Source organism: Homo sapiens, chromosome 6, assembly GCF_000001405.40.
Source record: "Homo sapiens chromosome 6, GRCh38.p14 Primary Assembly".
Classification (NCBI taxonomy): domain Eukaryota; kingdom Metazoa; phylum Chordata; class Mammalia; order Primates; family Hominidae; genus Homo; species Homo sapiens.
Genome location: NC_000006.12, coordinates 2,999,893 through 3,027,852, shown reverse-complemented (window position 1 = coordinate 3,027,852; position 27,960 = coordinate 2,999,893). Strand labels below are relative to the sequence as shown.

At 47.6% G+C, this 27,960-nt stretch overlaps 1 protein-coding gene, 1 long non-coding RNA gene and 1 pseudogene across 6 annotated transcripts, besides 7 other annotated features; 1 reads left to right on the top strand and 2 right to left on the bottom strand.

Annotated features, from left to right (window-relative positions):
- Positions 1–418: 418 nt before the first annotated feature.
- Positions 419–3,790, bottom strand: LOC101927759 (uncharacterized). The gene is made up of 3 exons (NR_152848.1): positions 3,680–3,790; positions 982–1,100; positions 419–908 (listed from the first exon to the last, which is right to left on the bottom strand). It is a non-coding gene; the product is annotated as an uncharacterized LOC101927759 (long non-coding RNA).
- Positions 736–895: an enhancer, noted in NCBI's record as "active region_23882". NCBI's record gives its function as "activates an Ori minimal core promoter by ATAC-STARR-seq in GM12878 lymphoblastoid cells {active_cell/tissue: GM12878}" and the evidence as "EXISTENCE:reporter gene assay evidence [ECO:0000049][PMID:35858748]".
- Positions 1,864–1,973: an enhancer, noted in NCBI's record as "active region_23881". NCBI's record gives its function as "activates an Ori minimal core promoter by ATAC-STARR-seq in GM12878 lymphoblastoid cells {active_cell/tissue: GM12878}" and the evidence as "EXISTENCE:reporter gene assay evidence [ECO:0000049][PMID:35858748]".
- Positions 2,084–2,378: a silencer, noted in NCBI's record as "tiled region #12329; K562 Repressive DNase matched - State 5:Enh". NCBI's record gives its function as "represses a minimal TATA promoter and a strong SV40 promoter by Sharpr-MPRA in K562 cells {active_cell/tissue: K562}" and the evidence as "EXISTENCE:reporter gene assay evidence [ECO:0000049][PMID:27701403]".
- Positions 3,417–4,616: an enhancer, noted in NCBI's record as "MED14-independent group 3 enhancer chr6:3023471-3024670 (GRCh37/hg19 assembly coordinates)". NCBI's record gives its function as "activates an origin of replication core promoter dependent on BRD2, BRD4, P300/CBP and CDK7 cofactors, and independent of MED14, by STARR-seq in HCT116 cells {active_cell/tissue: HCT116}" and the evidence as "EXISTENCE:reporter gene assay evidence [ECO:0000049][PMID:35650434]".
- On the top strand, positions 3,963–8,894 carry HTATSF1P2 (HIV-1 Tat specific factor 1 pseudogene 2; annotated as a pseudogene). Its single transcript, NR_033884.3, has one exon. The product of NR_033884.3 is annotated as an HIV-1 Tat specific factor 1 pseudogene 2 (transcript).
- On the bottom strand, positions 8,098–27,959 carry NQO2 (N-ribosyldihydronicotinamide:quinone dehydrogenase 2). Of its 4 annotated transcripts, NM_001290221.2 has the most exons (10): positions 27,768–27,959; positions 25,567–25,803; positions 24,064–24,184; positions 23,202–23,358; positions 21,294–21,385; positions 17,664–17,828; positions 15,179–15,309; positions 12,210–12,323; positions 10,868–10,969; positions 8,098–8,374 (listed from the first exon to the last, which is right to left on the bottom strand). In NM_001290221.2, the coding sequence occupies exons 5-10, from the start codon at positions 21,298–21,300 to the stop codon at positions 8,198–8,200; spliced, it is 696 nt and encodes a 231-aa protein (NP_001277150.1). In that variant the 5' UTR covers positions 21,301–21,385; positions 23,202–23,358; positions 24,064–24,184; positions 25,567–25,803; positions 27,768–27,959; the 3' UTR covers positions 8,098–8,197. The 4 variants fall into 4 exon arrangements, with proteins under 4 accessions (NP_001277150.1, NP_001305869.1, NP_000895.2 ...); NM_001318940.2 differs by lacking the exons at positions 23,202–23,358; positions 24,064–24,184; positions 25,567–25,803 and having other exon boundaries at positions 27,486–27,959; NM_000904.6 differs by lacking the exons at positions 23,202–23,358; positions 24,064–24,184; positions 25,567–25,803.
- Positions 9,823–10,322: an enhancer, noted in NCBI's record as "H3K4me1 hESC enhancer chr6:3017765-3018264 (GRCh37/hg19 assembly coordinates)". NCBI's record gives its function as "activates a minimal SCP1, AML or CMV promoter by ChIP-STARR-seq in primed H9 embryonic stem cells {active_cell/tissue: H9 hESC(primed)}" and the evidence as "EXISTENCE:reporter gene assay evidence [ECO:0000049][PMID:30033119]".
- Positions 10,323–10,824: an enhancer, noted in NCBI's record as "H3K4me1 hESC enhancer chr6:3017263-3017764 (GRCh37/hg19 assembly coordinates)". NCBI's record gives its function as "activates a minimal SCP1, AML or CMV promoter by ChIP-STARR-seq in primed H9 embryonic stem cells {active_cell/tissue: H9 hESC(primed)}" and the evidence as "EXISTENCE:reporter gene assay evidence [ECO:0000049][PMID:30033119]".
- Positions 13,539–14,038: an enhancer, noted in NCBI's record as "H3K27ac hESC enhancer chr6:3014049-3014548 (GRCh37/hg19 assembly coordinates)". NCBI's record gives its function as "activates a minimal SCP1, AML or CMV promoter by ChIP-STARR-seq in primed H9 embryonic stem cells {active_cell/tissue: H9 hESC(primed)}" and the evidence as "EXISTENCE:reporter gene assay evidence [ECO:0000049][PMID:30033119]".

The following is a 27,960-nucleotide window of genomic DNA, read 5'->3' as shown; positions in this document are numbered from 1 at the left end:
CGCTGGCCCGGGTGCTAAGCCCTTATTGCCCGGGGCCGACAGGGCCGCCCGGCTGCTCTGAGTGCGGGGCCCGCCAAGCCCACGCCCACCCGGAACTCCAGCTGCCCCGCAAGCGTCGCGCGCAGCCCCGGTTCCCGCTCGCGCCTCTCTCTGCACACCTCCCTGCAAGCTGAGGGAGCCGGCTCCGGCCTTGGCCAGCCCAGAAAGGGGCTCCCACAGTGCAGCGGCGGGCTGAAGGGCTCCTCAAGTGCCGCCGAAGTGGGAGCCCAGGCAGAGCAGGCGCCGAGAGCGAACGAGGGCTGTGAGGACTGCCAGCACGCGGTCACCTCTCAATGGCACAGCCCCCAGGCCTGGTCTTGCTCCCTTTTGCTTGGTTATTAGTATTTGATGCCAACGCAGCCTAAGGTTCCACTCTCGCTTGCCAATCCACTGTCAGCAACTTGTTTATTGTGGTGGTGGTGGTTGTGGGGTGAGGGGTTGGGGATATGCTTGGGCATTTTCCTTCATTTTTATGATCTTAGTAACACATTTAAAAGTGCACTTGCTGTGATTTACTTGGCATCTAGAAGTGTTGCTGCAGGAGAGCTTTTCAGATGTCTTGTCTGCCACAGAACAGGAAGTGAAAGTCTCTGCATGGTTTTTGACCTCACCCAGACACGACACAAGAATCTCTGACCCACAAAACATGAGATCCTTGTTGAGCCGGGGACCCCGCCTTAGGTTTCTGGTGTCGCTTCTTAAAAATGGCCTTTGTTCAGTGCTGCTTCAATTCCCCGAAGGGTTCCTTCCAGCAGTGGAGCAGAGCACAAGCTTTGGAAAAGGCCGCCTGGTTTTTAGTTTGCGTGCTGCCTCTTGTAGGGGTGGAGCCTGGTCAAGTGACTTGAGCTCTGTAAGTTTCGGTTCACCATCTGTAACATGAAGATAACAAAACCTTCTTACAGATTGTCAGCTCAGGCTGCGAGACATCAACAGAGGACATACCTTCCATCCATGATTCAAGAGTTCAGATGACACACACTTGGATTCTGGGCAGCTTTACTCTCAATACATTCTCATCAAACACATCACTGGCTGCATCGACGTTCCAGCGCATCAGCCCACTTTATGGGAAGAAAGAAATGGGGAGAGATGAGCAGAAATCAGACTTCTTAGCAGACACAACCCGAGGCAGGGTCAGCACCTGGGCCGTCAGGATCCCAGACAGGATTTCAAGCTCCTCCTGGGATTCTAGTGGGGAAGGTTTCTCCTGACAGGACTGAGGACACACTGGCACCTTGCGTATCAGCTGGGGCAGCTATGGAAGCTAGACTCCCTTTCTTTCATAGATGGGGAAAGTGAGGCCCGAAGAGGTGGGGGAGCTTGTTCAGGGGTACTCAGCTGCTGGCAGAGCTGGGCCTGGATGCAGGACTGCATCAGCCTCTTCTGCCTCTGTCACTTCCCCACAAGGGCAGATTCTTTCTCACCTTTTCCTCCTCCTTCTTTGTGTATACACTTAACCTGCTTCATGAGGAGATATGCTACTTTAAATTTTGTTATAATTTTTATATACCTCTATGAATGTTTTTAGATTATGGTCATCAGATTCCAAAATTAATTTATGTTTTGTCTTCACTGGAGTACTGCATATTCCCATGTAGATAGTCACCATGCTTGCAGCATTATTTAGGATTCTTTGATTGTAACTGCTGTACACTCAACTCACAGCATTAAGCAAAAAAGGCAACATCTTGCCTCACATAACTGAAGAGCTGAAGAGGAAAAGCTCCAGTTCAGGCAGGGGTGGATGCAGGAGTTCACAGCGTGTCACTAGGAAGTTGTCTCTCTGTGTGGCTTGGCTGCACCGTCCTCTGCCTGGGCTGCATTTGTAGGCCAACGCTGTCTATGTGTTGGCCCCTGACCCACTTACTTCATCACAGCTCCAAGTCCAGAAACAAGAAAGGTCTCTCTTTCCTGATAGGTCCAATGAACCCCTGAGTTCAGTCTCACTCCCTGGGGTGGTTACAGCTAGGCCACGGAACACTGTGATCAGTCAGGGCTGTGAACTGCCACTCCTGGGGTCGGAGGAGGGGCTACCCTTATGAACACCACATAGCTTGGTTGAAAGGGCATGGTTCCCCCACCACACACAAAAAAACAAGGTGTTACAATCAGAAAAAATGGGAATAGATATGGGACAGGCAAAGATGACTCTTCACAGCATCTGCCATGCAGCGGCTCAGAGTGCTTTGTCACTACCCCAATCACAGGCACTTTGGTTGCTTCCAGAGAGGAACCAGACGCCCTGGGTTCAAACCACATCTGCCCCTCTACAGCTATGACCCTTGGGCAGATGTCTTTTTTTTTTTTTTTTTTTGAGATGGAGTCTCGCTCTGTGGCCAGGCTGGAGTGCAATGGCACGATCTCACCTCACTGCAACCTCCACCTCCCGGGTTCAAGTGATTCTCCTGCCTCAGCCTCCCAAGTAGCTGGGACTATAGGCATATGCCACCACACCCGGCCAATTTTTGTATTTTTTAGTAGAGACGGGGTTTCACCATGTTGGCCAGGCTGGTCGTGAACTCCTGACCTCAGGTGATCCTCCCACCTCGGCCTCCTTTTAAAGTGCTAGGATTACAGGATGGAATAACACTTTCCTTTAAGGGCCAACGAAATCACTTGAGCATGCATCCATCAGAGGGAGGGCGGCTTAGGAGAGGTTCCCACACGGTGCCCACTGCTGAACTGTTCATTAGCTAGCTTTTTCCTGCATCCCCATCTTATCGCCATTTTCTGGGGCTCGGTTTTTCCGTCTTGAGAAAGAAATAGGCCTGTGCTTATTTCCCTCTCCCCTGGGACAAGGCACCAGCCACTCTCCTGAGCTGCTGGGAACTTCTCCAAAATTCCTGGTGCTTCCTCACATTGAGCAACATGAGTCTCTTTCCTCTTTTTACCAGGCTCCACCCACGAGAGGCTCTGAGACAAACTACACAACCAAAGAAGTCTTTCTGCATCCACAAAGCCCTGTTTGCCTAAGAAAAAGGTCGCGGGGCCCAATCACACACACCTGGCTGCAGTCATTTCCAATTTTCTTTTTTTTTTTTTAATGGCAATTCCTGCTGCCCTGCTGATACTGAATTTATTTTTTATTTTAAGTTTTTCAGCAATAAGATCTTAAAAACCGGCCGGGCGCGGTGGCTCATGCCTGTAATCCCAGCACTTTGGGAAGCCAAGGCAGGCAGATCACCTGAGGTCGGGTGAGTTCAGCCTGACCAACATGGAGAAACCCTGTCTCTACTAAAAATACAAAATTAGCCGGGCATGGTGGCGCATGCCTGTAATTCCAGCTACTCGGGAGGCTGAGGCAGGAGAATCGCTTGAACCAGGGAGGTGGAAGTCGAGGTGAGCCGAGATCGCGCCATTGCACTCCAGCCTGGGCAACAAGAGTGAAACTCCGTCTCAAAAAAAAATTCTTAAAAACCGGCAGAAAATGTATCAGGGTGCCCGGTACTAACAGGAGATGAGACATAGGCAAGAGCCCAGCCCTCGAATTGCTAACAGTTTTGCTTGGGAACCGGAATTAATGTCTTCAGCATACTCAGGCCAAGGTGACAGCACCGGCTCTCAGAGAGGTTGGATTTCAGCAACTTCCCATCCTCTCAACCCACACAGGAACAGGCCCCTCGGCAGTTCGAGAACGCACCTTCCCATACTTCAGAGTTGCCGGAGGGAGGGTGGAGGACCTCCTGCCTCACAGTGATCTGAGGTCCAGAAACCCTAGGGACCCCAGCTTGAGGCTCTGAAGGGCTGTGACACAGCCTCTTTGCCTGCCAGCCCCGCCCCGGATGCAGCCTGCTGAGCGAGGGTGGAGGAGGGGAGCTATGTGGCCAAAACCCTGAGTCACTGAGGAGCACGAGGGAGCCGCCCTTTCCGGCGTGTCTCCCGAGGCTGTCTGCCCTTCCCCAGCCTCTGCAGCCTACAATCCCAATCAAGAGCCAGCCCGGTTTCTGCAAGCACACAGGAGCAGAAGAGAAACCAGTGAAGACTTCACCGCTGCATATCAGGCCAGCGACGGCTGCTCGGTGACGGCGCTGCTCTGCCACCAAGAAAAACCCCAAACCCACTGATCCCACAAAGAGGGGAGAAAAAGGAAGGCTTCATGCTGAAGAAGGAGAAATACAAACGTGTATGTGCCGGTTTGCCTCTGGTCGTTACCGTGGAGGCATTCACACGCCTGTCCATTTGGCATTATTATGAGCGATCCCCAGACAGAAGAACTTAAGGTCAAGTTTTACAGAGATAACCAAGGACATCTTAAAGGAGACAGGCTGTGCGATCATTGGAAGAGGGAAGCTGTGGATCTTGCATTCATGCATTTGGATGAAGATGACACTGGAAACTGCACGTTGCAGGTTGAGGTGGCCAAGTATCAACGGAATGGGAAATATGAGGCTTCAGGAAGGAAGTGCGCGAACCACAGGAAGGCTCCGTCTCTACGGCAGAAGCGGCCACGCCGCAGCCCATCCAAACGCCGCGACACGAGTGAGTTGTCCTCATCGAACACATTTCATCCTGTGGATTTTGAGGATGGCCAGAGAAGACCTTCAAGGAGAGTCAAGTTTGGACCAACTCGGAGGCTCATTGTCTTTGACAGACACCCAGCTGGTGAACCTGTGTCCTGGAGGAATGCAGGAGCAGCTGCTCATTGTATTCAAACCTTTGATGGAAGGTGGTTTGAATGATAATGGTTGAACAGACTCCAAGGCTGAGAGGACGGGCGGGCGGCTTCCTTCAGTGTCCCTGAGGCCAACACACTCAGTGCTCCGATTCCACAGAGGGGGACTTTGGGTGGTGCTGGGGGCGTTGAGGAAGAAGGGCCCCTGGGCACAGCCAGCAGTGCTGTCCTCAGTAGTGATGACAAGGAGGAGGAGGAAAAGGGAAAAGAGGAGGATATGATGACAAAGATGATATTTAATCCCTCAAACTTGCTTTTAGGGAAGTTCCTCCATCTGCATGTGGCTGTGTGTCAGGGTGATTATTAGTAGGGTTACGTGAACACGGCACAGTGGTACAATGCCATCAGACTAAATTTTTTAAAAGTTTTAAATTTTCATTGTAACTGGCAATTAATGATTTTTAAATTATTTTTATTTATTTATTTGTTTTTTGAGACAGGTCTCATTCCGTCACCCAAGGCTGGAGTGCAGTGGTGTGATCTCAGCTCACTGCAACCTCTGCCTCCCAGCTCGAGCGATTCTCTCACCTCAGCCTCCCAAGTACCTGGGACTGCAGATGTGTGCCACCACACCTGGCTAATTTTTTTTTTTTTTTATAGGGTTGGGGTTTCGCCATGTTGCCCAGGCTGGCCTCAAACTGCTGAACTCAAGCAATCTGCCCATCTTAGCCTCCAAAAATGCTGGGATTCCAGGTGAGAGCCATCACGCCTGGCTATTTTTAAAAAGAGTCTTGCTCTGTCATCCAGGCTGGAGTGCAGTGACACAGTCATGGCTCATTGCAGCCTTGAACTCCTGGACTCACGTGACCCTCTTGCTTCAGCCTCCTGAGTAGCTGGAATTACAGGTGCGTGCCACCATGCCTAACTAATGTATATTTTTAAATTTTTTGTAGAGATGGGTCTCATTATGTTGCCCAAGCTGGTCTTGAACTCCTGGCCTCAAGCAGTTATCCCATCTCAGCCTCCCAAATTGCTGGGATTACAGGCATGACCCACAGTGCCCAGCCATTAATTTTTTTTTTTTTTTTTTGACGGAGTCTCGCTCTGTCACCCAGGCTGGAGTGCAGTGGCACAATCTCGGCTCACTGCAAGCTCTGCTTCCCAGCTTCACGCCATTCTCCTGCCTCAGCCTCCCGGGTAGCTGGGACTACAGGCGCCCGCCACCAGACCCGGCTAAATATTTGTATTTTTAGTAGAGACAGGGCTTCACTGTGTTAGCCAGGGTGGTCTCGATCCGCCACCTCAGCCTCCCAGAGTGCTGGGATTACAGGCGTGAGCCACCGCACCCGGCCTCAGACAACATGACTTTATTACTGGAAACCAACTAAGAAAAAATTATGATTAGGAGGAGAAAACAGCAAACGGTCGGGGTCAAAAACCAATATTCAGCAATCAATAGCTTTTACCAATCAAAAGAACTTTTAGAAGATATAATTGAAGACAAAATCCTATTTATAATAGCAAACAACAGCAAAAGCAAGGAATGAACTTAGTCAATGTGCACTGCCTGTAGGAGATGACCTCGTGATCGGCATGCCCGCCTTGGCCTCCCAAAGTGCTGGGATTACAGGAGTGAGCCACTGTGCCCAAAAAAATAAATTTTGTAATGTTTCACTTAACAAAAGAGATACATTCTGAGAAATGTATCATTAAGTGATTTCATAATTAGTTGATTTCATTGTCACGCAAACATCATAGAATGCACTTACACAAACCTAGATGGTACAGCCTACTACACACCCAGGCTTTATGGTAGAGCCTATTGCCCTTGGCTATAAACCTGTAGAGATGTTACTGTACTGAATACTGTAGGCAACTGTAACACAATAATAGGTATCTCTGTATCTAAACATGGAAAAGGTACAGTAAAATTACTGTATTAGTCCAGGTGCAGGCAGCTCATGCCTGTAATCTCAGCACTTGGGGAAGCTGAGGTGGGTGGACTGCTTGAGACCAGGAGTTCAAGACCAGCTTGGGCAACATAATGAGATCCTGTCTCTACCAAAAATTAAAATAATTAGCCAGGCGTGGTAGCATGTGCCTGTAGTCCTAGTTACTAGGGATGCTGAGGCAGGAGGATCACTTGAGCCTAGTGAGGTATGATCATGCCACTGCACCCAGCTGGGGCAACAGAGTGAGACCTCATCTATAAAAATAATAAAATAAATCTTAAATAAATTTTAATAAACAAAACATGGCATTATAATCTTAGGGGACCACCATCGTACATGCAGTCCATCACTGATTGAAACATCATGCAACATATAACCATATATGTTAATGGCTGTTCAATTAAAACTTCATAGTCCTAATGTAAATTTAAAAAGACAAAGAAGAAAATTAAGCAACAGGCCCAGATTCAACTTTTCTATGAAAAATAGAAACTGTCATGTTGAGTCATAAAATAAAAAAACTAGCAAATCCAGCTCTATGCTCAGAGAATTACCAGAAAATAAAATTACATGAAGCTTGAATATAGGGAGATGGAAAGATATTAGACAAATATTAAAGAAAATCTGGGCCAGGTGTGGTGGCTCACACCTGCAATCCCAGCACTTTGGGAGGCCCAAGGTGGGAAGATTACTTGAGGCAAGGGGTTTGAGACCAGCCCGGGCAACATAGTGAAACTCTGTCTCTTTAAAAAAGAAAGAAAAGAAAAGAAAGAAAGAAAAGAAAATCTCAGTGAGTGATGGTCAGAATAGAATTCAACATAACAAGCTCATTATTAAAATATTTGATCTCACTGTGTACAATTCTGAAGACACTCATTCATGTACTTCATTAAATATTTCTAGTTTGCTAAAAATAGAATTACCCTTCAACCCAGCAATCCCATTACTGGGTATCTACCAAAAGGAAAAAAAAAATCATTCTATGAAAAGATGCCTGCACTTGTATGTTCATCACAGAACTATTTACAGTAGCAAAGACATGGAATCAACCCAGGTGCCCATCAACAGTGGACTGGATAAAGAAAGTGTGGTACACGGACGCCATGGAATACTATGCAGCCATAAAAAAACATGAAATCCTGTCCTTTGCAGTAACGTGGATGCAGCTGGAGGTCATTATCCTAAGTGAATCAACACAGAAACAAAACCAAATTCCCCATGTTCTAACTTATAAGTGGGAACTAAACATTGGGTACACAGGGGTGAAAAGACGGGATCAATAGATGCTGGGAATCCAAAAGCGGGAAGGAAGGGAGGAAAGGAAGTGTTGAAAAACTATCTATTGGGAACTATGCTCACTGTTTGGGTGATGGGATCAATAGAAGCCCAAACCCCAGCGCCACCCAATATTCCCCTGAAACAGTACTGGCCATGTGCTCCTTAAAGCTAAAATTAAAAACAAACAAAAAACAGAAAGAAAAAAGTATCCCCAGGTAGCTATGTTGTAATTTTATTTCATGACAGCACCATCTTCTCTTTGCCTGCGCCTGGGCCTCCTAGTGTGCTGCTTACGTGATGCCCACGTGCCACAGAGTTATTGCCCGAAGTGCCAGTGGGCTGTGCAGGGGATGGGCTCTTCCTTCCAGATGGTCTGCAGCCTCTGGGACCACGCAGCCACCATCCCCTTTCTTTCTTCTTCGGATGCAATTTCAGGAGCAAAGCTGATCTGAGGGGCAAGGACTTTAAATCCACAGAAGTGTAATGTGCCATGCTAAAGCCACAGGGGAAGAAAAGAACTCATTAGAAACTACACCTGTTACATACCATTCAGTTAAATGATTTAAGGGGGGAAATGGTGTGAAACAAACCTTCAAAAAATCATGAAACAACCTTAATGTTACAGGCAACTGAAAGCTAAACTTCCCTATGGCTTTAGGACACAGCCTTGCATAAGAGCCGTGAAGAACTTGGGGCAGTTGCAATTTCCAAGCTCTATTTTTATAACTGCAATTAACCTACAATCTTTGCAACTGATTCAGATGCCAAACATTATAGTTCTGCTTGATTGGGCAAATTATGGTACATTCACACTATAGATTATTCCAGAATGAGGTTATTCTAGCTATAATATATACCATGGAAGTTTGTTCAAGATATCTGTTAAATGAAAATAACAAACAAATTTTAAGCCGTATTTATGATATACCATTCATGTAAAAGAGCAGTAAATGTAATAAACCTATAATAAAAATTATGTATGTGAGAAAATATATAGGCCCTAAGAAAATAAATCAAACCATTTAAAGTGATTCTTTCTGAGGTGGGAGGGATTAAAGGGATTTTCTCTTTTTATATTTCATATTGTCTCTTTTTTTTTTGGCCATAATATGTACTTCTGCAAACTGAAAAAAAAAAAGATTTTTTTAAAAGCAAGAAGAATTTGAACTTGGCTAATGACACATAAGAGACCAGTTGGCCTGTGAAGAAGCAAGGTCAGGTTTATAAATTATCATTTCCTTCAGTAGACTATCAGTAACTGGAATCACGTACTTTTTCCTTTCAAAGAGGACCACTTTTTTTCTAAAAATGTCACACTCAATCCTCTGCATTACTTCCTTTAAAACCCACACCCTCATCCAGGCCTGCCCTGTCAGGTGGGGAGTGAGAGGCCCACACACCACTATCCACATTTTTTTCCTCAGGCAACATCATTTTATTTATTTGTTTGTTTGTTTGCTTGTTTTTGAGGTGGATTCTCATTCTGTTGCCCAGGCTGGAGTGCAGTGGTGCAATCCTGGCTCACTGCAACCTCCGTCTCTCAGGTTCAAGCGATTCTGCTGCCTCAGCCTCCCAAGTAGCTGGGACTACAGGTGTCCGCCACCACACTCGGCTAATTTTTGTGTTTTAGTAGAGATGGGGTTTCGCCATGTTGGCCAGGCTGGTCTCAAACTCCTGACCTCAGGTGATCCACTGCCTCAGCCTCCCAGAGTGCTGGAATTACAGGCGTGAGCCACCGCACCCAGCTTCAGACAACATGACTTTATTACTGGAAACCAACTAAGAAAAAATTATGATTAGGAGGAGAAAACAGCAAATGGTCGGGGTCAAAAACCAATATTCAGCAATCAATAGCTTTCACCAATCAAAAGAACTTTTAGAAGATATAATTGAAGACAAAATCCTATTTATAATAGCAAACAACAACAAAAGCAAGGAATGAACTTAGTCAATGTGCACTGCCTGTAGAAGGAAAAATCATTGTGTTTTGAAAGGACATAATAGGATTAATTTCTCTGATATATGAAGAGCACTGACAAATAGAAAATTAAAAAATACCAAACCAATAGGACATGGGCAAGGCACGTGCACCTAGAGAGAGTTCACAGAAAAGGGGTGACGCGTGCATTTTCCCAGCAAACTCCCTACCCCTCAAGAACGAGCTCTCCCCCTGTCTCGACAAACCTCCCTTAAACAACCTGGAAGAACAGTTGACCCCTAGGTTTCTGGGTTCCCTGGAGCCCCTGACCTGGAGTCTGCTCCCCACTCCCTCCCTCTGCCACCCCTCACCAGGGGTTCCTTCGTGGGACACCCCAGCACGTTGGAACTGCTCTGCCCACCACCTTCCCTTTGGCAGGTGGCCACTACTCGGCCACATTTCAGGCCCAGGGACACTCACGCAGGCACCAAGAGGTCCCCTGGGGAAGCAGGCCTGGGAGGGGCCTGCGGACTGGGAGGTGGGTGTGTGCTGGCTCCATAGGCCCCTTGCCCCTGTGGGGGTTGGCATGGCCAGCAGAGACCAGCATGCGGCCATCAGAATGCAGGGCCTGGGGTGCCACTTGCCAGGGTCCAAGGGCAGTGCTGCCCTCACCAAGCACTGCCAGAGCCATATGGATGGCCTCCACCCGCACGTATCACAACACACGCAGGGCCACCTTGGGGCCATTCTGCTGACCAAGCTAAGCAGGTTTGGCTTAGCTTCTGCCCAAACCATATCAAAAGCTATAATTAGGGCATGTTTTCCCTATTGGTCAAGCTTTTCAAATCTGTCAAGTAAAGCATTTAAAAGGGGCAAAATGTTATAATTTTCTTGTATCCAGGGGAGTCAAAATGGTGTGGGGCATCACGCTTCCATCCCATCTCATCTCACCCCTCGGGGAGCTGAGGGCATGTATGTGTGTGCGTGTGTGTGTGTATGCATGTGTGCATGTGTGTGTCTGTGTGTGCGTGTGCCAACAAGCAAGGGAGCCACTCGCAGCTGGTCTACCTGGAGTGGCCACAGGAAGTATCGAGAATCTCCATTGACTCCTGTCTTCGTGTACATCTCGGCCGTGCCTCCCGTGGTTACGGAAAGGAGCGCTAGTTTACCCTGCAAGGGAGAAAGCAGATGCATTTGTGTGGACTCCAGAAGAGGACAGAAATGTTGCTGAGCCTCCAGCACACGGGCTCAGCACAGCCAGCAGGGAACATGCGTGTGGACACCCTCCAGGGATGGACAAATGCAACACTCCCATCCATAGGTGACAATGACATCCCAAGAGGAGGAGGAGACAATCCAAGTGAATGGACCAAGCAGACACAGAAGCTCTAACATGCCCAGGTTGCTGGTGGAAACCTGGTTTCCATGACACCATGTGTGATGGATACGGCCGAGGCACTGACCACAGGACAAGGTTCCCAGCACACAGGGCTGCTCAGTAAGTGGTAGCACCATTCATGGTCCAAGACACATCTTGGTTACTCAGTATGTTTCCCTTACGTGCATTTATTTTCTGAAGCTTTTAGAATTTAAAAATCGTTCCTTTTTTTTTTTTTTTTTTTTGAGACAGAGTCTCGCTTTGTCACCCAGGCTGGAATGCAATGGTGCGATTTTGGCTCACTGCAACCTCCACCTCCCAGGTTCAAACCAGTCTCCTGCCTCGGCCTCCCAAGTAGCTGGGACTACAGGCGCCTACCACCATGCCCGGCTAATTTTTGTATTTTTAGTAGAGATGGGGTTTCACCATGTCGGCCAGGCTGGTCTTGAACTCCTGGCCTCAAGTGATCCACCCTCCTCGGCCTCCCAAATTGCTGGGATTACAGGCGTGAGCCACTGCACCCAGCCTTAAAAATCATTGTTTTAGTAAGAATTCATAGCTACCACATGTGGCACATCTACCAGATTCCATGCCCTCCTCATCCTGCCACGTGGGTGTCGCATGGTCTTTTCTCACAGCAGGCACATGATGCTCAAGGGGGTGAACTTGTGCCAGGCCAGGGCTGGGCTCTGCACCAGGGAGATACTCTCTCTGGAGCCAGGGCTGGCCACCGGGTTGCCCACATAAGGTTGCCCAGGTCCCCCGTCACCTGACACCTGACCCACTCCCTTGTTTGCCATGCGTGTAGTATGCTGTGGATGTGTTCGCAGCCCCACCAGACAAAAAGCTCCATGATTTCAGAAACGATGCTGTGTCCACCCGTGTGCAGCACATGGTGCTTTGTACATAGTGGGTGCTCAATCGATATTTGCTAAGAAAAGGAAGGAAACTAGAAATATAACTTGATAGAAGACGCATCCTCTGTCCCCTCCCTCCAACTATCCATAGTGATCCTTATCCAAGAGCACATACCTGGAGCAAACCGGAATCGTAGAATCCTGGGATGTCAAAGGCAAAGCCCTGGCACAGCACCCTATCCATCCAGCCCTTCAGGATGGCTGGCACGCTGAACCAGTACAGCGGGAACTGTGGGCGGCAACACCAAAGAGAAACTGAGGCTGCGGCTCGCCTCAGGTTTCCTAGTTTAGTTTATCTGGTGATTCGGAATGAAGCCCACAGCCCTCCTCTTCCCTGGCAGCTGGGCAGGTGAGGGTAACCCTTATGGTCAGCTCTGAAAGGTGCAGTGTGGGTGTCAGACGGGAACGGAGTTGACAATGGTCCTTGTTGCTGTTACAGGTAGCTCTGCATCCCCCAGTGATGACAGCCCCTGATGCTGGCCCTGGGCAGGCAGGGAGGGGACGAGGAGCTGTGCGTAACACCAGCTTTGGAGCAGCAGTCTGTGATCAAGCCAGTCAAAAGGAAGAGTATGGAAAAGCATGCCCCTTCGCCTGCCTGGGGTGTGTTGTTAGCATCTGGAAGTCAGACTGAGTTCGGTGCTGAGCATCTATGGATTTAGACACCAACTAAAGTCATGTTTGTATTCCTTAGACCAGCGCTAAGATCTCCCTATCCCATAGATGCCCTAACATTACATCCAGTGTTACCGCCTGGGAAGGGAAATAAACATAGGCAATCATCTGTTACCAAAGGTGGAAGCCAATGTCTCTTGTGCTTTCCATATAAAACAAACTCAGGACTTGGCATTGAAACCCAAGCTCCACGACCTGCTGCTGTGTGACATTGGCAAGTTACTTGACCTCCCTGTGCCTCCTTTTTCCTGATTCATCAAATAGGGCTACTAATAGTTCACAGCTCACAGCATCCTGGTGAGGATTCGAAGACACACCACAGTGCCCAAAACAGAATCAATGCTCAGTGAGTGGTGGGCTCTGATATTAGTAGTGCAGTAGTGATGAATGAAATTTTTATTAATGTTGAATAAAAGAATAACTTATAATGCAGACCCTCTGGACAAACTATCAGAAAAAAAGGGAAAGTAGGGAAATGGAGTGAAATGAAGTGAAACAAAAGAAAGGCCATTATAGAAAGGCCAGGTCTTAGCCTACCCAGCCACCGGGTTATGGGAGTGGAGTGGGTGCGAGGAGGAAAGCGGGCTCCACGTGGCCGGCCGACCCAAGGGGGACAGGAGAAGCAGAGCAGAGAGCTCAGCGTGGCTCTGCTGGGACCACGCACCCCAGGATACAGGCCCGTCATACTGGCATGGTATTAAGACGGAGATGGTAAACCACATGGTCACCTAGGCCTGAGGACTATGAGTCCACCCACCTGTAATTAGGACAAAGGACGTCCTGCACTTTGGTCAGATTAGCAGCTCAAGGTCACTGAGTAAAGAAAGGGCTGGTGTCGGGAAGGGGTGTGCAGAGGCAAGCCTGGGCAGGGATGAGGCAGCCCTCTTCCCGCACATGCAGGTTGCTTTTATGAAGGCTTGGGAACCTCATCATTCTGGAAAGGTGGTTTTGTCTGGAAAGTGGTCACATGCCGCTCACCCCCTGCCTTGCCCTCACATGGCGGACTCATGCGAACAGTGCTCTCGTTCTCCTGCCCACTCCGCATCCTCAAGCAGGGTTGGAAAACAGAAATGATCTGAACCAATCAGATCCCTTGGTTGGAAATTCTGGATCTAGGGGATCCAGTCCCTGGCAAGCAGTGAGAGAGAACAGAGCCAAGAGGCAGAAAGGAGCAGATGGGAATCTGTGGACGAGAGCAGCTACAGCTCTGTCCTTGGGATCCAGGAGGCCCAAGTGACCAGAGCCCTTATAATAGATTCCCCTTTCCTTCTAGTTGGACAGGAATTTCTGTCACCCAACAATTCCCTCAAAGCTCATGTGCGTACTCTGCTGCCAGGTTTACACAGCCACAGCCATGCCTGCACATCTTCCTTGCAGTGGCGGGAAGTGGCCTGATGAGTCAGCACTCCTGGAGGGCATTTTGCTGGGCCAGTTCACTCTGCAGTGGCATCACCTCCTTGTGAACAAATACAGGAAGGTGGCTGGGCTGGGGGTGAAGCAACCACTGAGAGGGTAGAAACCAGAGATTTTCCTCTTAATGATCAGGATATTTAAGGCAGGATATTTAAGGAGATGCATTTGGCCTGATTTACCCTGATAAACATTTGTGCAGATAAATGTGGTTCTCAAGCAGCCCCAGAATGTCTCAGGGCAGGAACGGGAAGAGAAGGGAAGCAACAAGACTGGCAGGTTTCAGATGATTCTTGGACCACTGGAATAATGGAAATATCCTTCATTCCTATTTACATGGCAGTCGGGATTTGGAGTGAGTGATATTGGCTACGTGGATATCTTTACCCAATTAGGTAAAGTGTTTAAAGTAGTGTTACATCGGCCGGGCGCGGTGGCTCACGCCTGTAATCCCAGCACTTTGGGAGGCCGAGGCGGGTGGATCACGAGGTCAGGAGATCGAGACCATCCTGGCTAACACGGTGAAACCCGGTCTCTACTAAAAATACAAAAAACTAGCCGGGCGTGGTGGCGGGCGCCTGTAGTCCCAGCTACTCGGGAGGCTGAGGCGGGAGAATGGCGTGAACCCGGGAGGCGGAGCTTGCAGTGAGCCGAGATCCCGCCACTGCACTCCAGCCTGGGCGACAGAGCGAGACTCCGTCTCAAAAAAAAAAAAAAAAAAAAAAAAAAAGTAGTGTTACATCTACGTACAGTGTTTAAAGTAGTGTTGTAACTAGATGAAGTGTTGTAACTAGGTGAAGTGTTGTAACTAGGTGAAGTGGTGTAACTAGGTGAAATGTTGTAACTAGGTGTTGTAACCAGGTTACAATATTTGCTCAGTAAGTGTGCAACTGTGCTCAAAACATTGATGCCACTTCCAGAAGCAGCACAAAACTCAATATTCAGAAAGAGTTTGTACATAAGATGAATCTGATTCAATATATTAATTAGAGAAAAACAAACCTGAAATATCACTAGGTCAGCCTCCCGAACCTTTTTCTGCTCATCAGTGATGTCGCTAGCCAGAGACCTTTGCTTGTAGGCTTCGTGGGTTTCCACTCCATAATTGAAAACCTCAGGATTAGAAAGAGTACCTGTCGGGGAAGAGGCCAAACATTCTCACTCCTAGGTGGGCATCCACAGCCCATCCCAACCATCCCAGTAGCACTGTGTATACCGGACTCCTCAGACAAGTCAAAGACATTTGCTGCAACCTGACCAGAAGCTGCACCCTGGGTCCGAGCTAGGGAAAGAGAAGCAGTCTGGGAGGGCTGCTGATTGAGCACTTGCTACCTAGCAGGTGCTGTGCTCTACACACATCACCTTTCTTCATAACAACTGGTGAGACTGGTGTATTTCCCAATTTACCAGAGAGCAAACTGACACCCAAGAGAGGCTGGATGTCTTGTTCAATGCCAAACAGGTCTAAAAAAATAAACTCTACGCTTTAATTTCATGCTCACCTCCACATTTTTGAGTATCTGTGTCTTGATTTACATATTTTATATTGCTTATCTTTGGCTCTTAACAGGTCACGTAGTGATTATTGTTTTTGATAGATTTGTCTGTTAGACTTAATACTAGTAATGAGTGGACTGTACACAATTACAGTATTAGAGTGTTCTGTGTACTTACTTTTACCAGTGGGTTTTACATCTTCAAATGTTTTCTTTTTGCACATTAGTGTTTTTCTTTCTTATTGAATTCCCTTTAGCATTTCTTGTAAGGTGGGTCTGGTGGTGGTGCATTTTCTCAGCTTTTCTTTGTTTGGGAAAGACTCTCTCTCTTTCAGAGTTGAAGGCTAGATTTGCTGGGTACAGTATTCTTGGTTGACAGTTTTGTTCTTTCAGCACTTTGAAAATGTCCCACTACCTCCTGGCCTATATGTTTTCTGTTGAGAAGTCTGTTGCCAGATGAACTGGAGCTCTGTTACATGTTATTTGCTTTTAGGATCCTCTTTTTGTTCTTGACCTTTGAGAGTTTAATAATTATATGCCTTGGGGTAGTCCTATTTGAGTCAAATCTGTTTATTCTATGACCTTCCTCTACCAGGATATTTATCTCTTTCTGAAGTTTTGGAAAATTTTTCTGTTATTATTTCTTTGAATAAGCTTGCTATGCCTTGCTCTTGCTCAGCTTCCTCTTAAGCACCAATCATTCTTAGATTTGGTCTTTTGAGGTAATTTTCTATATTTTGTAAGAAATCTCCATACCTTTTTCTTTTTTCTCCTCTGTGTATTTTCAAATCACCTGCCTTTGAGTTCACTGATTTTTTCTTCTGCTTCATCCATTCTGCTGTTGAGAGCCTCTAATGAATTTTTCAGCAAATGTATTTCTAGTTCCAAGATTTCTGTTTGATTTTTTAAAAATTATTTCAATCTCTTTGTAAAATTTAACTGATAAATTTCTGAACTGCTTTTCTGTGTGATCTTGAGGATTACCACATTTCCTTAAAAGTGCTATTCTGAATTCTTGGTCAGAGAGTCCAAACAGTGCCGTCTCGTTAGGTTCAGTCACTGGTTCCTTGCTTTGTCTGTGTGGAGAGGTCATGGTTCCCTGTTTACTGTTGTTTCTTGTGGATGACATCTATTTATTTCAGTCTTCTATGTCTGACTTGTTTTCATTTTTATTACATATATTTGCTTAGAAAGTCTTTGCAACTTTCTTATTAAATTTTTTTTTTTTCCTCTACTAAGCCACCACCTGCTTTTTGGCACTAGATGGTGGTTTATGCCCACGTTTGCCTCAGCTCTAGTAACCTACTGTTCAGAGTGTGCCAGTCCTGAATATGAGAGGTTCCAAAGGGGATAGCATGGTAGTGTGGGAAGGCTGGCTAGCAGCTCATGCCCAGGAAACCTGCAGAATGTACCTCCTACAGTGTGGTGCTGCTGAACAGCCACTCTGGTTTGGCATCTCCTTTGGCTAAGTTACAGATCAGAGTTTCCAGGGCTGGGGACAATATTCCCATCTCCCTCCTTTGTCTCTGGCTGTTGTCAGGGATATTTCTCCCTTTAGGCACTCCTGATGCTTCCTGTGGGTTGAGGCAGGAACAGGTCTCCTTCCTGCCTGTTTCTGGGAACCCCAGAAAATTGAGAAGCTGATTGTCCCCCTTGATCTCTTTTCCAGTGTAGAACCTGTGACTTGGGAGGAAATTTCCCACACAGCTGGTGCTGGGTAGTTTGTGGGGAGGGGTGTCGTGGATATGATAGTCCAATCTCTTACCGTCTGCTTGGAGTTGTTTCACTTATGTGTGGTCTTGGGAACTATTTCATCTTCATATTTGACTTCTGGGATACTGCTGGTGATAATCCCAGTGCTATCTATTTGTTTTTGGAAAGTGAAGCTAGCTTGCTTCTATAATGCCATTTTGCAGCTGGAAGTCAACATTTTTTAAAGTAAAAAACATAAAGATGGTTTTTATAAATAGAGCATTTATCCCATGACTCACCAGTGATATCTTTGTCTGTGGCCCTCGGCTCAAGGTTCATGGCATACAAATCAGACACTGTGACGGTGCAGCCCTGCCTGCTCAGTTCATCTACAGCCACATTCTTCAAGGATCCGTTGAAAGACTTGGGTTCCTGGTGTGCATAGACAATGAGTACTTTCTTACCTAAATCAGGATAAGAAACAGTTCCTCTTGAAGAACAACCTCTCTCTGTTAAATTCAATGAAGACTAAGATGAAAATTGAATGTTCAGGTGCATCATAGTAATTGAAGCTAAGAAATATCAAATTTTCTTTTCTTTCTGTCTCTTTCTCTCTCTTCTTTTTAGACAGTCTCACTCTGTCACCCAGGCTGGAATGCAGTGGCATGATCTCAGCTCACTGCAACCTCTGCCTCCCAGGTTCAAGTGATTCTCATGCCTCAGTCTCCTGACTAGCTGGGACTACAGGTGTGTTTCGTGGGAAGTCAGGGACCCCGAATGGAGCAACTGGCTGAGGCCATGGCAGAAGAATATAAATTGTGAAGATTTCGTGGACATTTATTAGTTCCCCAAATTAATACTTTTGTAATTTCTTATGCCTGTCTTTACTGCAATCTCTGAACGTAAATTGTGAAGATTTCATGGACAGTTATCACTTCCCCAATCAATACCCATGTGATTTCCTATGCTTGTCTTTACTTTAATCTCTTAATCCCATCATCTTCATAAGCTGAGGAGGATGTATATTGCCTCAGGACCCTGTGATGATTGTGTTAACTGCACAAATTGTTTGCAGAGCATGTGTGTTTGAACAATATGAAATCTGGGCACCTTGAAAAAAGAACAGGATAACAGCAATGTTCAGGGAACAAGAGAGATAACCTTAAACTCTCACTGCCGGTGAGCCAGGCGGAACAGAGACATATTTCTCTTCTTTCAAAAGCAAATGGGAGAAATATCGCTGAATTCTTTTTCTCAGCAAGGAACATCCCTGAGAAAGAGAATGCGTCCCTGAGGGTGGGCCTCTGAAATGGCCGCTTCGGGGCGGCAGCTGTCTTTTATGGTCCAGCTGTAGGGATGAAATAAGCCCCAGTCTCCCGTAGCGCTCCCAGGCTTATTAAGACAAGGAAATTCCTGCCTAATAAATTTTGGTCAGATCGGTTGTCTGCTCTCAAACCCTGGCTCCTGATAAGATGTTCTCAATGACAATGGTGCCCAAAACTTCATTAGCAATTTTAATTTCGCCCCGTCCCGTGGTCCTGTGATCTCGCCCTGCCTCCATTTGCTTTGTGATATTCTATTACCTTGTGAAGCATGTGATCTCTGTGACCCACACTCTATTTGTACACTCCCTCCCCTTTGGAAAATCACTAATAAAAACTTGCTGGTTTTACGGCTTGGGGGCATCACGGAACCTGCCGACATGTGATGTCTCCCCTGGACACCCAGCTTTAAAATTTCTCTCTTTTGTACTCTGTCCGTTTATTTCTCAGACCGGCCGACACTTAGGAAATATAGAAAAGAACCTACGTGAAATATTGGGGGTGAATTTCGCCCAATATCTGGCTGAATTTCCCCCGATAGATGTGTGCCACTACGCCCAGCTAATTTTTTGTATTTTTAGTACAGATGGGATTTTGCCATGTTGGCCAGGCTGGTCTTGAACTCCTGGCCTCAAGTGATCCACCCGCCTTGGCCTCCCAAAGTGCTGGGATTACAGGCATGAGCCACCGCACTTGGCCAGAAACACCAAACTTTCTTTTCTTTCCTTTTTTCTTTTTCTTTTTTTTTTTTTTTGAAACAGAGTTTCGCTCTTGTTGCCCAGGCTGGAGCAACGATCCCAGCTCACTGCAACCTCTGCCTCCCGGGTTCAAGCAATTCTCCTACCTCAGCCTCCTGAGTAGCTGGGATTACAGGCATGCGCCACCACGCCCGGATAATTTTTTGTATTTTTAGTTAAGACCGGGTTTCTCCATGTTGGTCAAGCTGGTCTCGAACTCCCGACCTCAGGTGATCTGCCCACCTTGGCCTCCCAGAGTGCTGGGATTACTGGTATGAGCCACAGCACCTGGCCCCAGAAATACCAAACTTTCTAATAGGTGGCAGTTTTAAAGCAATGGGCATTTTAAAAATCCAGTTATTCATAGCTCAACATCACAATACAATGGGTCAAATTATATCTCCTCAAAAATACCACCACTAAATCTTTTAAAAGCCCAACCTAATTTGGTTATCCTCTGTAAGAAGGTTTAGACCAGCTCCCTAACACCAAAATAAAGAACTGCTGGAATTAGTCTTCCATGCTAACCCTACATTTGCAGATATCAGCTACAGGCACCTTTCAGTGTGGCACAGTTCTGCTTCCATCTCCCCCAGTCCATCAAATCTGACACTTAAACAAAACATGAGGAATCAGACCCGCTGGTCTCATGGGAAGGCAGGGCCACATGGAGCCCATCTTTCAGTGGTGATGCTGATAACAAAGAGGACTCTAGGAAGAGTCAGGCCCTCCTGGCACTGGCAGTATCGTTCACACCAGGGGCTTCTGAAGCAGTATTTTCCTCATTGGAAAGAGTCTCCAGGCTTATATACTGACTTCGTCTGGGAGGCAGCCTGGTGATTTGCTTAATTAAATTTACCCTGGTCACCTTTAAGAAGATGTTAAACTCTTGATTTAAATTTTTCATAATGACACTTTAAGGAAAAGATACACGTATCAGTTTGAAGCAATGGGTTTCAGGGCATTGAGCTGGCTACAAAGGTTGAATTCCATAAGTTAGATTCATGGTTAACATTTTAATTTTACTTTCTCAGACTCTTGTTTCAATAAAGGAACTATACTTAGGGGCTTAACAGGAGAATAGATGCAAATGAAATACCTACACCAATGGTTCTCAACTGGGGCAGTGTTGTGCCTGCTAGGGGACGTTTCTCAATGCCTGGAGACATTTTGGTTTGTCACAGCCGGTGGGGGAGGGGTGCTACTGGCATCTGGTGGGCAGAGGCCAGGGATGGTGCTAGGTGCTAAACAGGGTGCACAGGATGACCCCCCAAAACATAGGATTATCTGGCCCAGAATGTCAGTGGTGCCAAGGGCGAAAATCCGAATCTACACCATAATGTATAGAGTAAGGTGAACCTGTGCGTTCTAACACGAAAGGCTCTCCATGTTATATCGTTAGGTGAAATTAAAAAGTTGAGAGATTGCATGTTCATGTATATGTGCATGATAAGCAGTTGCAAAAGCAAAGATAGAATCGTACTGAATTTTTACCCAAGATGCCTCCTGGGGTTCATTCACTTGAGCCCCTGCTACAGCCCAGGGAGAATTTCAGGGCCTGGAGGCACAGCAAAGACAGGATAGGCAGGGCCCCACTTTTGAGGAACCTAAATTCTGGAGGGAGTCGAAAGGAACAATGAAACAAGTGAGAACATAGAAAACAAGATAATTCCAGATAGTTTATACACTTCCACGTGGCTTGGATTTTTTACAACAATGTATCCAATTTCTGATTAAGAGTCTAACTCCCACCTGGAAGGTCAATGTGGGAGGGTCACTTGAGCTCAGGAGTTTGAGACCAGCCTGGGCAATACAACAAAATCCCATCTCAAAAAAAAAAAAGTCTTACTCCACAATAGTGAATCATTACCTGCCATAGCGTAAGAAGGTGGATTCCTTCTCTCTGATTTGATGGGTGGCTGGGGCTTTCCTGCGTAGTCTCTCTTCAGCGAGTCCAGCAATCTGGAAGACAAAACGAACCCAGAGGGGGTGGGGAGAGGCATAGGTGAGGTCGAATGTACCACATCTAGGCATCACTGCTGCTTCCTGACAGACACGCAAACACATCAGAGAAAGACCTCTCAAGAGAGGCCAGGAATCTTCTGGAGATTTAGGCCTCAGAGGACAAGCCACGCAGGATGTCAAAACCCATACTTTTTTCCTTTTTTGAGAGGACTCTGAACCTTCCATCCAGACAGTCATACAGCAAAGGACCCAGGAAATGAGCCACGGTAGGAAGCAGGAGTTGAGCCTCCTTGGCCTTCCTGCCTTCCCCAGTTTTCCCCGTAGATCGAGCAGAAGGCTGGGGGATCAGTGAACCGCCACACCACCAATGGGTGCGTGCACTCCTCGGCTGGTGCCAGACTCTGGTGGGCCAGCACTGGCAGTTGTCGGCCCTTCCCCTCACTTGAAAATAATGGGAGTTGGCTTAGACCCAGGCTCTAACCAGAAGTCTCAGAGATTCTCCAGGGATGCAGCGGAGGCCAGAGGAGCAGAGGAGACCCCCGCATCAGACAGACTTGGTGCAATTTCCAGCTCTGCCCATTGTAGCTGTGGGCCCTGCAGCACATCCCTCCACCCCTCTGTGCCTCAACCTCCTCATCAACAAAGTCACAGCATGGCCCAGAAGAGTGAGAGAGAGACAGTTGCTATGTGCGGTGGCTGGCACACAATGGGGCTCTGGAAAAACGTGAGTTCTCCCCAGGGGAGCCTTTGGCCTCACCCCCTCCTGGCCATCTCTGAAATTCTGGCTTCCTTCTGGGAGATACAAGGAGACTCCAACAAACCCACTCTCCCTACCATAAAAAAACAGCTCAGATAAAACTTAACAACAACAAAGCAAACAACTCAATGCAAAAATGGGCAGAAGGCTTGTGTAGGCTTTTCTCCAAAGATGTATGAATGGTCAGTAAGCCATGAAAAGATGCTTAGCATCACTAATCATTAGGGAAATGCAAATCAAAACCACAATGAGATCCCATATCACACGCATTAGAATGGCTACTACTACCAAAAAACAAAACACACGTAGGTGAGGATGCGGAGAAGTTGGAACCCCGTGCACCGCTGGGGAAAGGTCGAGTGCTGCCGCTGCTGGAGAGGTGCTGTGCCCCCAAAAATTACAATTAGAAAAATGAGAATTAACATATGACTCAGCAATTCCATTCGTTACTCTGAACCCAAAAAACTGAAAGCAGGGTCTTGAAAACCACTTGCCCACCCATGTTCAAAGCAGCATTTTCCACAACAGCTAAAACATGGAAGCAACCCAAGTGTCTATCAGTACATGAATGAAAACAGCCAGAAAATTCTACCCTTAAAAGTGGCTAAAATGAGGTCAGGCACCGTGGCTCACACCTGTAATCCCAGCACTTTGGGAGGCTGAGGCAGGTGGATTACCTGAGGTCAGGAGTCCGAGACCAGCCTGGCCAACATGGCGAAACTCCGTCTCTACTAAAAATACAAAAATTAGCCGGGCGTGGTGGTGTGCACCTGTAATCCCAGCTACTCGGGAGGCTGAGACAGAGCGAGACTCTGTCCAAAAACACAAAAAACAAACAAACAAAAAAAGTGGTTAAAATGGTCAATTTTATGTGAGATGTTCTGTACCACAGTAGGAAAAAATGGGATAAAAAAACAATGCAGAGAGTGTGACTAGGGCTTAGTGTGAAGACACGCATCGCGCATGTTGTGTCCAAACGACAACGTGAACCTATCAGTGTGTCTTTACAGCAAAACAAAAAGCACAGAGACACACAAAAGTGGTGCTTATCCCCACCAGGACTGGAATCTTGAGCAGGGCCTGAATGAGCATCTTCCAGGGCCCACTCCTTATCTCCAGCTGTCCAGGAGCACAGGCACAGGGCTGGGGTCTGCAGAATACTGCAAGAAGTGAGGTGGGTGCTGAGGAGTGGGCTCCACCCAGGCCAGGTGCCCTGTGGATGGAAAGGAAAAGAGGCTACATCATTGTGGCTGAAGCTGAGTTGGGGGCAGGCATGGGACTTAACAGAGTGGGGCACTGTCACTCCCCAAGAGGGCAGACAGCTCTGATCACTCCAAACACCCAAAGGTGACTTCAAATCCTTCCCCATTCGCTTGACTTCACTGGACAGCTGGGAACCTGCATCTTTAGTGACTGAATATCCCCACTCTGGTTCCCCAAGGACAGACCCTGAATTGATTCCAGGAATCCACGTGTACAGGTAAGCACTACATTTCCTAGGCTGCCTTGCAGTTGAGATGGCCAGTGAGGTGTCAGCAGAAGTCACAGGCGGGGCTTCCAAGAAATACCCTCAAGAAGCGAACTCAGCTGGGGCTGGGAGGTGTGGGAGCTAGCTCCCTCTGGCTTTGTCGCTGGCTCTCTTCCCAGCTGGACTGTGGGATGATGTTAGGGCTCAGTCAGCCTTCTTGTCGTCCTGGGGATGGAGGCTATGCACCAAGGGCAGGGAGCAGAAATACCAAAGGAACCTGGATTCCCGGGGCTCTCTTGGGGCTGCAAGATGGTGGTGGATTGGCAACTGCAGATATTTGTGTTTATGTATTTTCCATGCAGAAACATCTACAATGGCACTGAGTCTGTAGCGAGGGCCATGCACTGTCTGTCTGAAAGTGCTCCAGGCACAGGCTTTGTGTCCAAGTACCTTGCTGTGTTTAAGGTACATCACAGCACCGGAGAATGTGGGAGAGGTCACATTCATCCCTTCAAAGCGCAGGGAGGTTCCTATTCTGACACCAGCAACACTTACAAGAATGAACCTAAAGCTGGGCAGTGAGGAAGGAAAGGAAAAAGAAAGTTTATGAATACAGGTAGTATTGTTTGAACCGGTAAGTTGCACTATAAATCACAATAAAAGATAGTCTGTATATCACTAAAACAGAAGAGTTGGCCGCCCTGAGGATGAGGCCTTTGGGTCTCCAGGCATTTGCCAGCTCTCCTAGCCTAGGGGCAGGGGCGCCTGCACAGCCCTCTGCTTTTCCTAGAATTCTCAGCAGCGAGCATGTGTCAGGGAGAGACATGGTTGTCTTAGCACTGAGGCTGAAATCCTGGATGTTCTTGGGAGGGCAGTGATTGTGAAGAACAAGTTACTTGTCTAGTTCCTGGGGGTCACTCCTCAAAGCCTCCCGATGAGGCAAGTTTACAGGATCCATGCTCCCTGAGCCAGCAGTGACACCCACACTTGGCAGTGAGAAGTGGGGCTGTAACTTACAGGGTGAGCCAAAATGGCGGGTCTGGAAAGGGATTATCTTAAAGGAAAAAGAGAGGAGAGTGAGTGACTTCATCATTAGCTGGGAGGCTCTACAGTGCCCTGGTGGACAGTCACTGCCTGGAGGTGACTTTGTAGAAAGCAAACTTTGGCTATCACAATGCATAGGGAGGCCTGGCAAAGCCCAGGGAAGCAGAAGGCCCAGCACTTTGAGAGGCTGAGGCAGGAGATCACTTGAGCCTAGGAATTTGAGACCAGCCCGGGCAACATAGTGAGATCCCATCTCTACCAAAGATTTTTAAAAATTAGCCAGGTGTGGTGGTGCATGCCTGTAATCCCAGCTACTCAGGGGGCTGAGATTAGAGGATTGCTCCACTCCAGACTGGGTGACAGAGTTAGGCTCTGTTTCAAGAAAAAAGAGAAAGTAAAAGAAAAAAAAGAAAGCCTGTTTGGCTGAACTGTGGTTCAAAAAAAAAAAGAGTGGATGGTGGTAGATGCAGTCAGGGAGGTGGGAGGGGTCTGACCTGACCCCTCCTAGGGTAGGGGTGAGGATTTTATTCTAAGCCTGACAGAAAGCCCTTGGAGCCTCTTAAGCTGGAGAGTAATATGGAATGATCGCCAGTTGTGGTGGCTCACACCTGTAATCCCAGCATTTTGGGGGGCCGAGGTGGGGGGATCACCTGAGGTCAGGAGTTTGAAACCAGCCTGGTCAATGTGGCAAAACACCATCTCTACTAAAAAATACAAAAATTATCCGGGTATGGTGGCATGTGCCTGTAGTCCCAGCTACTTGGGAGGCTGAGGCAGGAGAATCACTTGAACCTGGGAGGTGGAGGTTGCAGTGAGTCAAGATTGTGCCATTGCACTCCAGCCTGGGCAACAGAGCAAGACTCTGTCTCAAAAAAGAAAAAGAAAATAGAGTGATATGAAATGATTTACCTTTGTAAATGTTGCCAGTGTTTCTGCAGACTGGGGGAACACCTTATCCTGATTCCCAAAGTGATTGCCCGAAATCATGTTGTTTGTATGAAATGCTTCATTTTCACTCCTCTAGACAGGGCATCCATTCTTCAGTGTCCCCAGCTCACCACTCCCTTTTGTATTCCTTGGCCCAGTTTACATGTTTACATCATATGGCTGGTGGCATGTGAGTTTGTGACTTCTGTCTCCATCCCCCTAGCGGTTAAGAATAAGAATCTGAGGTCCAAGAGCTGAGTGACTAACTCAGCTCTATTTGAGTGACTCAGCTCTATTTTCTATACTATTTGAAATAGTGGGGAAAGACTCCAACACAGGCTCTTGACTTGCAGTTGTGTCACTGTTCACTTGACCCCAGGCACTTCCCTTGGCACCCCATCCACAGCAGTGACAGTTCTCTCCCTTTTTAGAAACTATGCACCTACCCAGGCCTACAGGAAAAAAGAGCCATGTGGTTATTAAACTGTATATACCAGGTCAAGTGGGCTCTGATATTTTTGACGTGTACATTATTTAATTTTAAGAAGTTATTTTATAATGTTTTCACTTTTTTTCCTGTGCCTCTTTCCATGTGGACAGTCCCCGTGCTGGGCATTCTAACAGACAACATCTCACAGTGTATTCAGTGTGTATTCATGCGGCAGCTAAACCATTGCCTGCATACCCTTTTGTGCCCATTTTCCTATTTCTGGGACCTTAGGTTATTTCCATTTTTTTCCCAAAACTATAAACAGCACAGCTAGAAGTATATATTATTTAATACTTGTTCCTTTTCATGTATTTCTTTGGCTGTGATCTTCGGAGATTAAAGGTTAAACTGATTTATTTTTTCAGAGATTAAAGGTTAAAGAAGCTGATTTTTGGCCGGGCGCAGTGGTTCATTAATCCCAGCACTCTGGGAGGCCGAGGCAGGCGGATCACCTGAGGTCAGGAGTTTGAGACCAGCCTGACTAATATGGTGAAACTCCATTTCTACTAAAAATACCAAAAATTAGCTGGGTGTAGTGGCACGCACCTGTAATCCCAGCTACTCGGGAGACTGAGGCAGGAGAATAGCTTGAACCCGGGAGGCAGAGGTTGCAGTGAGCTGAGATTGTGCCATTGCACTCCAGCTTGGGCAATAAGAGTGAAACTCCATCTCAAAAAAAAAAAAAAAAGAAAAAGAAAGGAAGAAGAATGAGTTCAAGACCAGCCTGGCCAATATGGTGAAACTCCCACCTGTACTAAAAATACAAAAATTAGCCGGGCATGGTGGCAGGCGCCTGTAATCCCAGCTACTCAAGGGGCTGAGGGGGGAGAATCGCTTGAACCTGGAAGGCAGAGGTTGCAGTGAGCTGAGATTGCCCCACTGCACTCCAGCCTGGGCAACAGAGTGAGACTCTTCTAAAAAAAAAAGAAAAAAGAAAAAGAGGGCCGGGAGCAGTGGCTCACGCCTGCAATCCCAGCACTTTGGGAGGCCCAGGCGGGCGGATCACGAGGTCAGGAGTTTGAGACCAGCCTGACCAACATGAAACCCGTCTCTACTAAACATACAAAAAATTAGCCAGGCGTGGTGGCACGCCCCTATAATCCCAGGTACTCGGGAGGCTGAGGCAGGAGAATTGCTTGAACCCGGGAGGCGGAGGTTGCAGTGAGCCGAAATCGTGCCACTGCACTCCAGCCTGGGCGACAGAGTGAGACTCCGTCTCGGGGAAAAAAAAAAAAGCTGATTTTTTTTTTTCCCAGAGAGATTATAGGTTAGAGAAGCTGATTTTTCATTTTTTCCACAGTGCCACAATGTCCTTGACAAAGGCAGCGCAAACCAGTGGTTCAGCCGCGCCTTCAGGGCAGCGCTGGGCAGCGCACGGGCCTAAACCCCGGTACCCCCTTTACAGACTGACCTTGGGCCCGCTGATTCCTACTTGTAATATGACTATGATACCAGCACCCGCTCCATAGGGTTGAGGGCAGATTCCACCAGACGATTCGACACCGGGACCCTGCGTGTGGGCGCGTTCCGTGAGAGCCAAGCACGATCCTATGTACAGAATGGTCCCTGGCCCGGGCGCGACGACCCACAGGGCCATATGGCCGGCCAGCTGAAATCCCTGAGAGCGTTCTGGCCGTCCAGTCCGGGAACTGTCCTTCCCAAGTCCCCCGGTCCCCGACAGGGGATCACTCACCTTCCGACCAGCGCACTCCCCAGTAGGAGCCGCAGGACTGGGACCCGCGTCTCCCCAAGGACCGCTCTAGGAGTTGCGCCAGGTTCCGGCCGCACTGGACCGCGCACTCGCTGACGCCTGGAGGGCGGGAGCGCTGCGACTGCGCCCCCGGGGACCACGGACCGGTGCCAACCTAAGCAGCCCGGAACCTGCC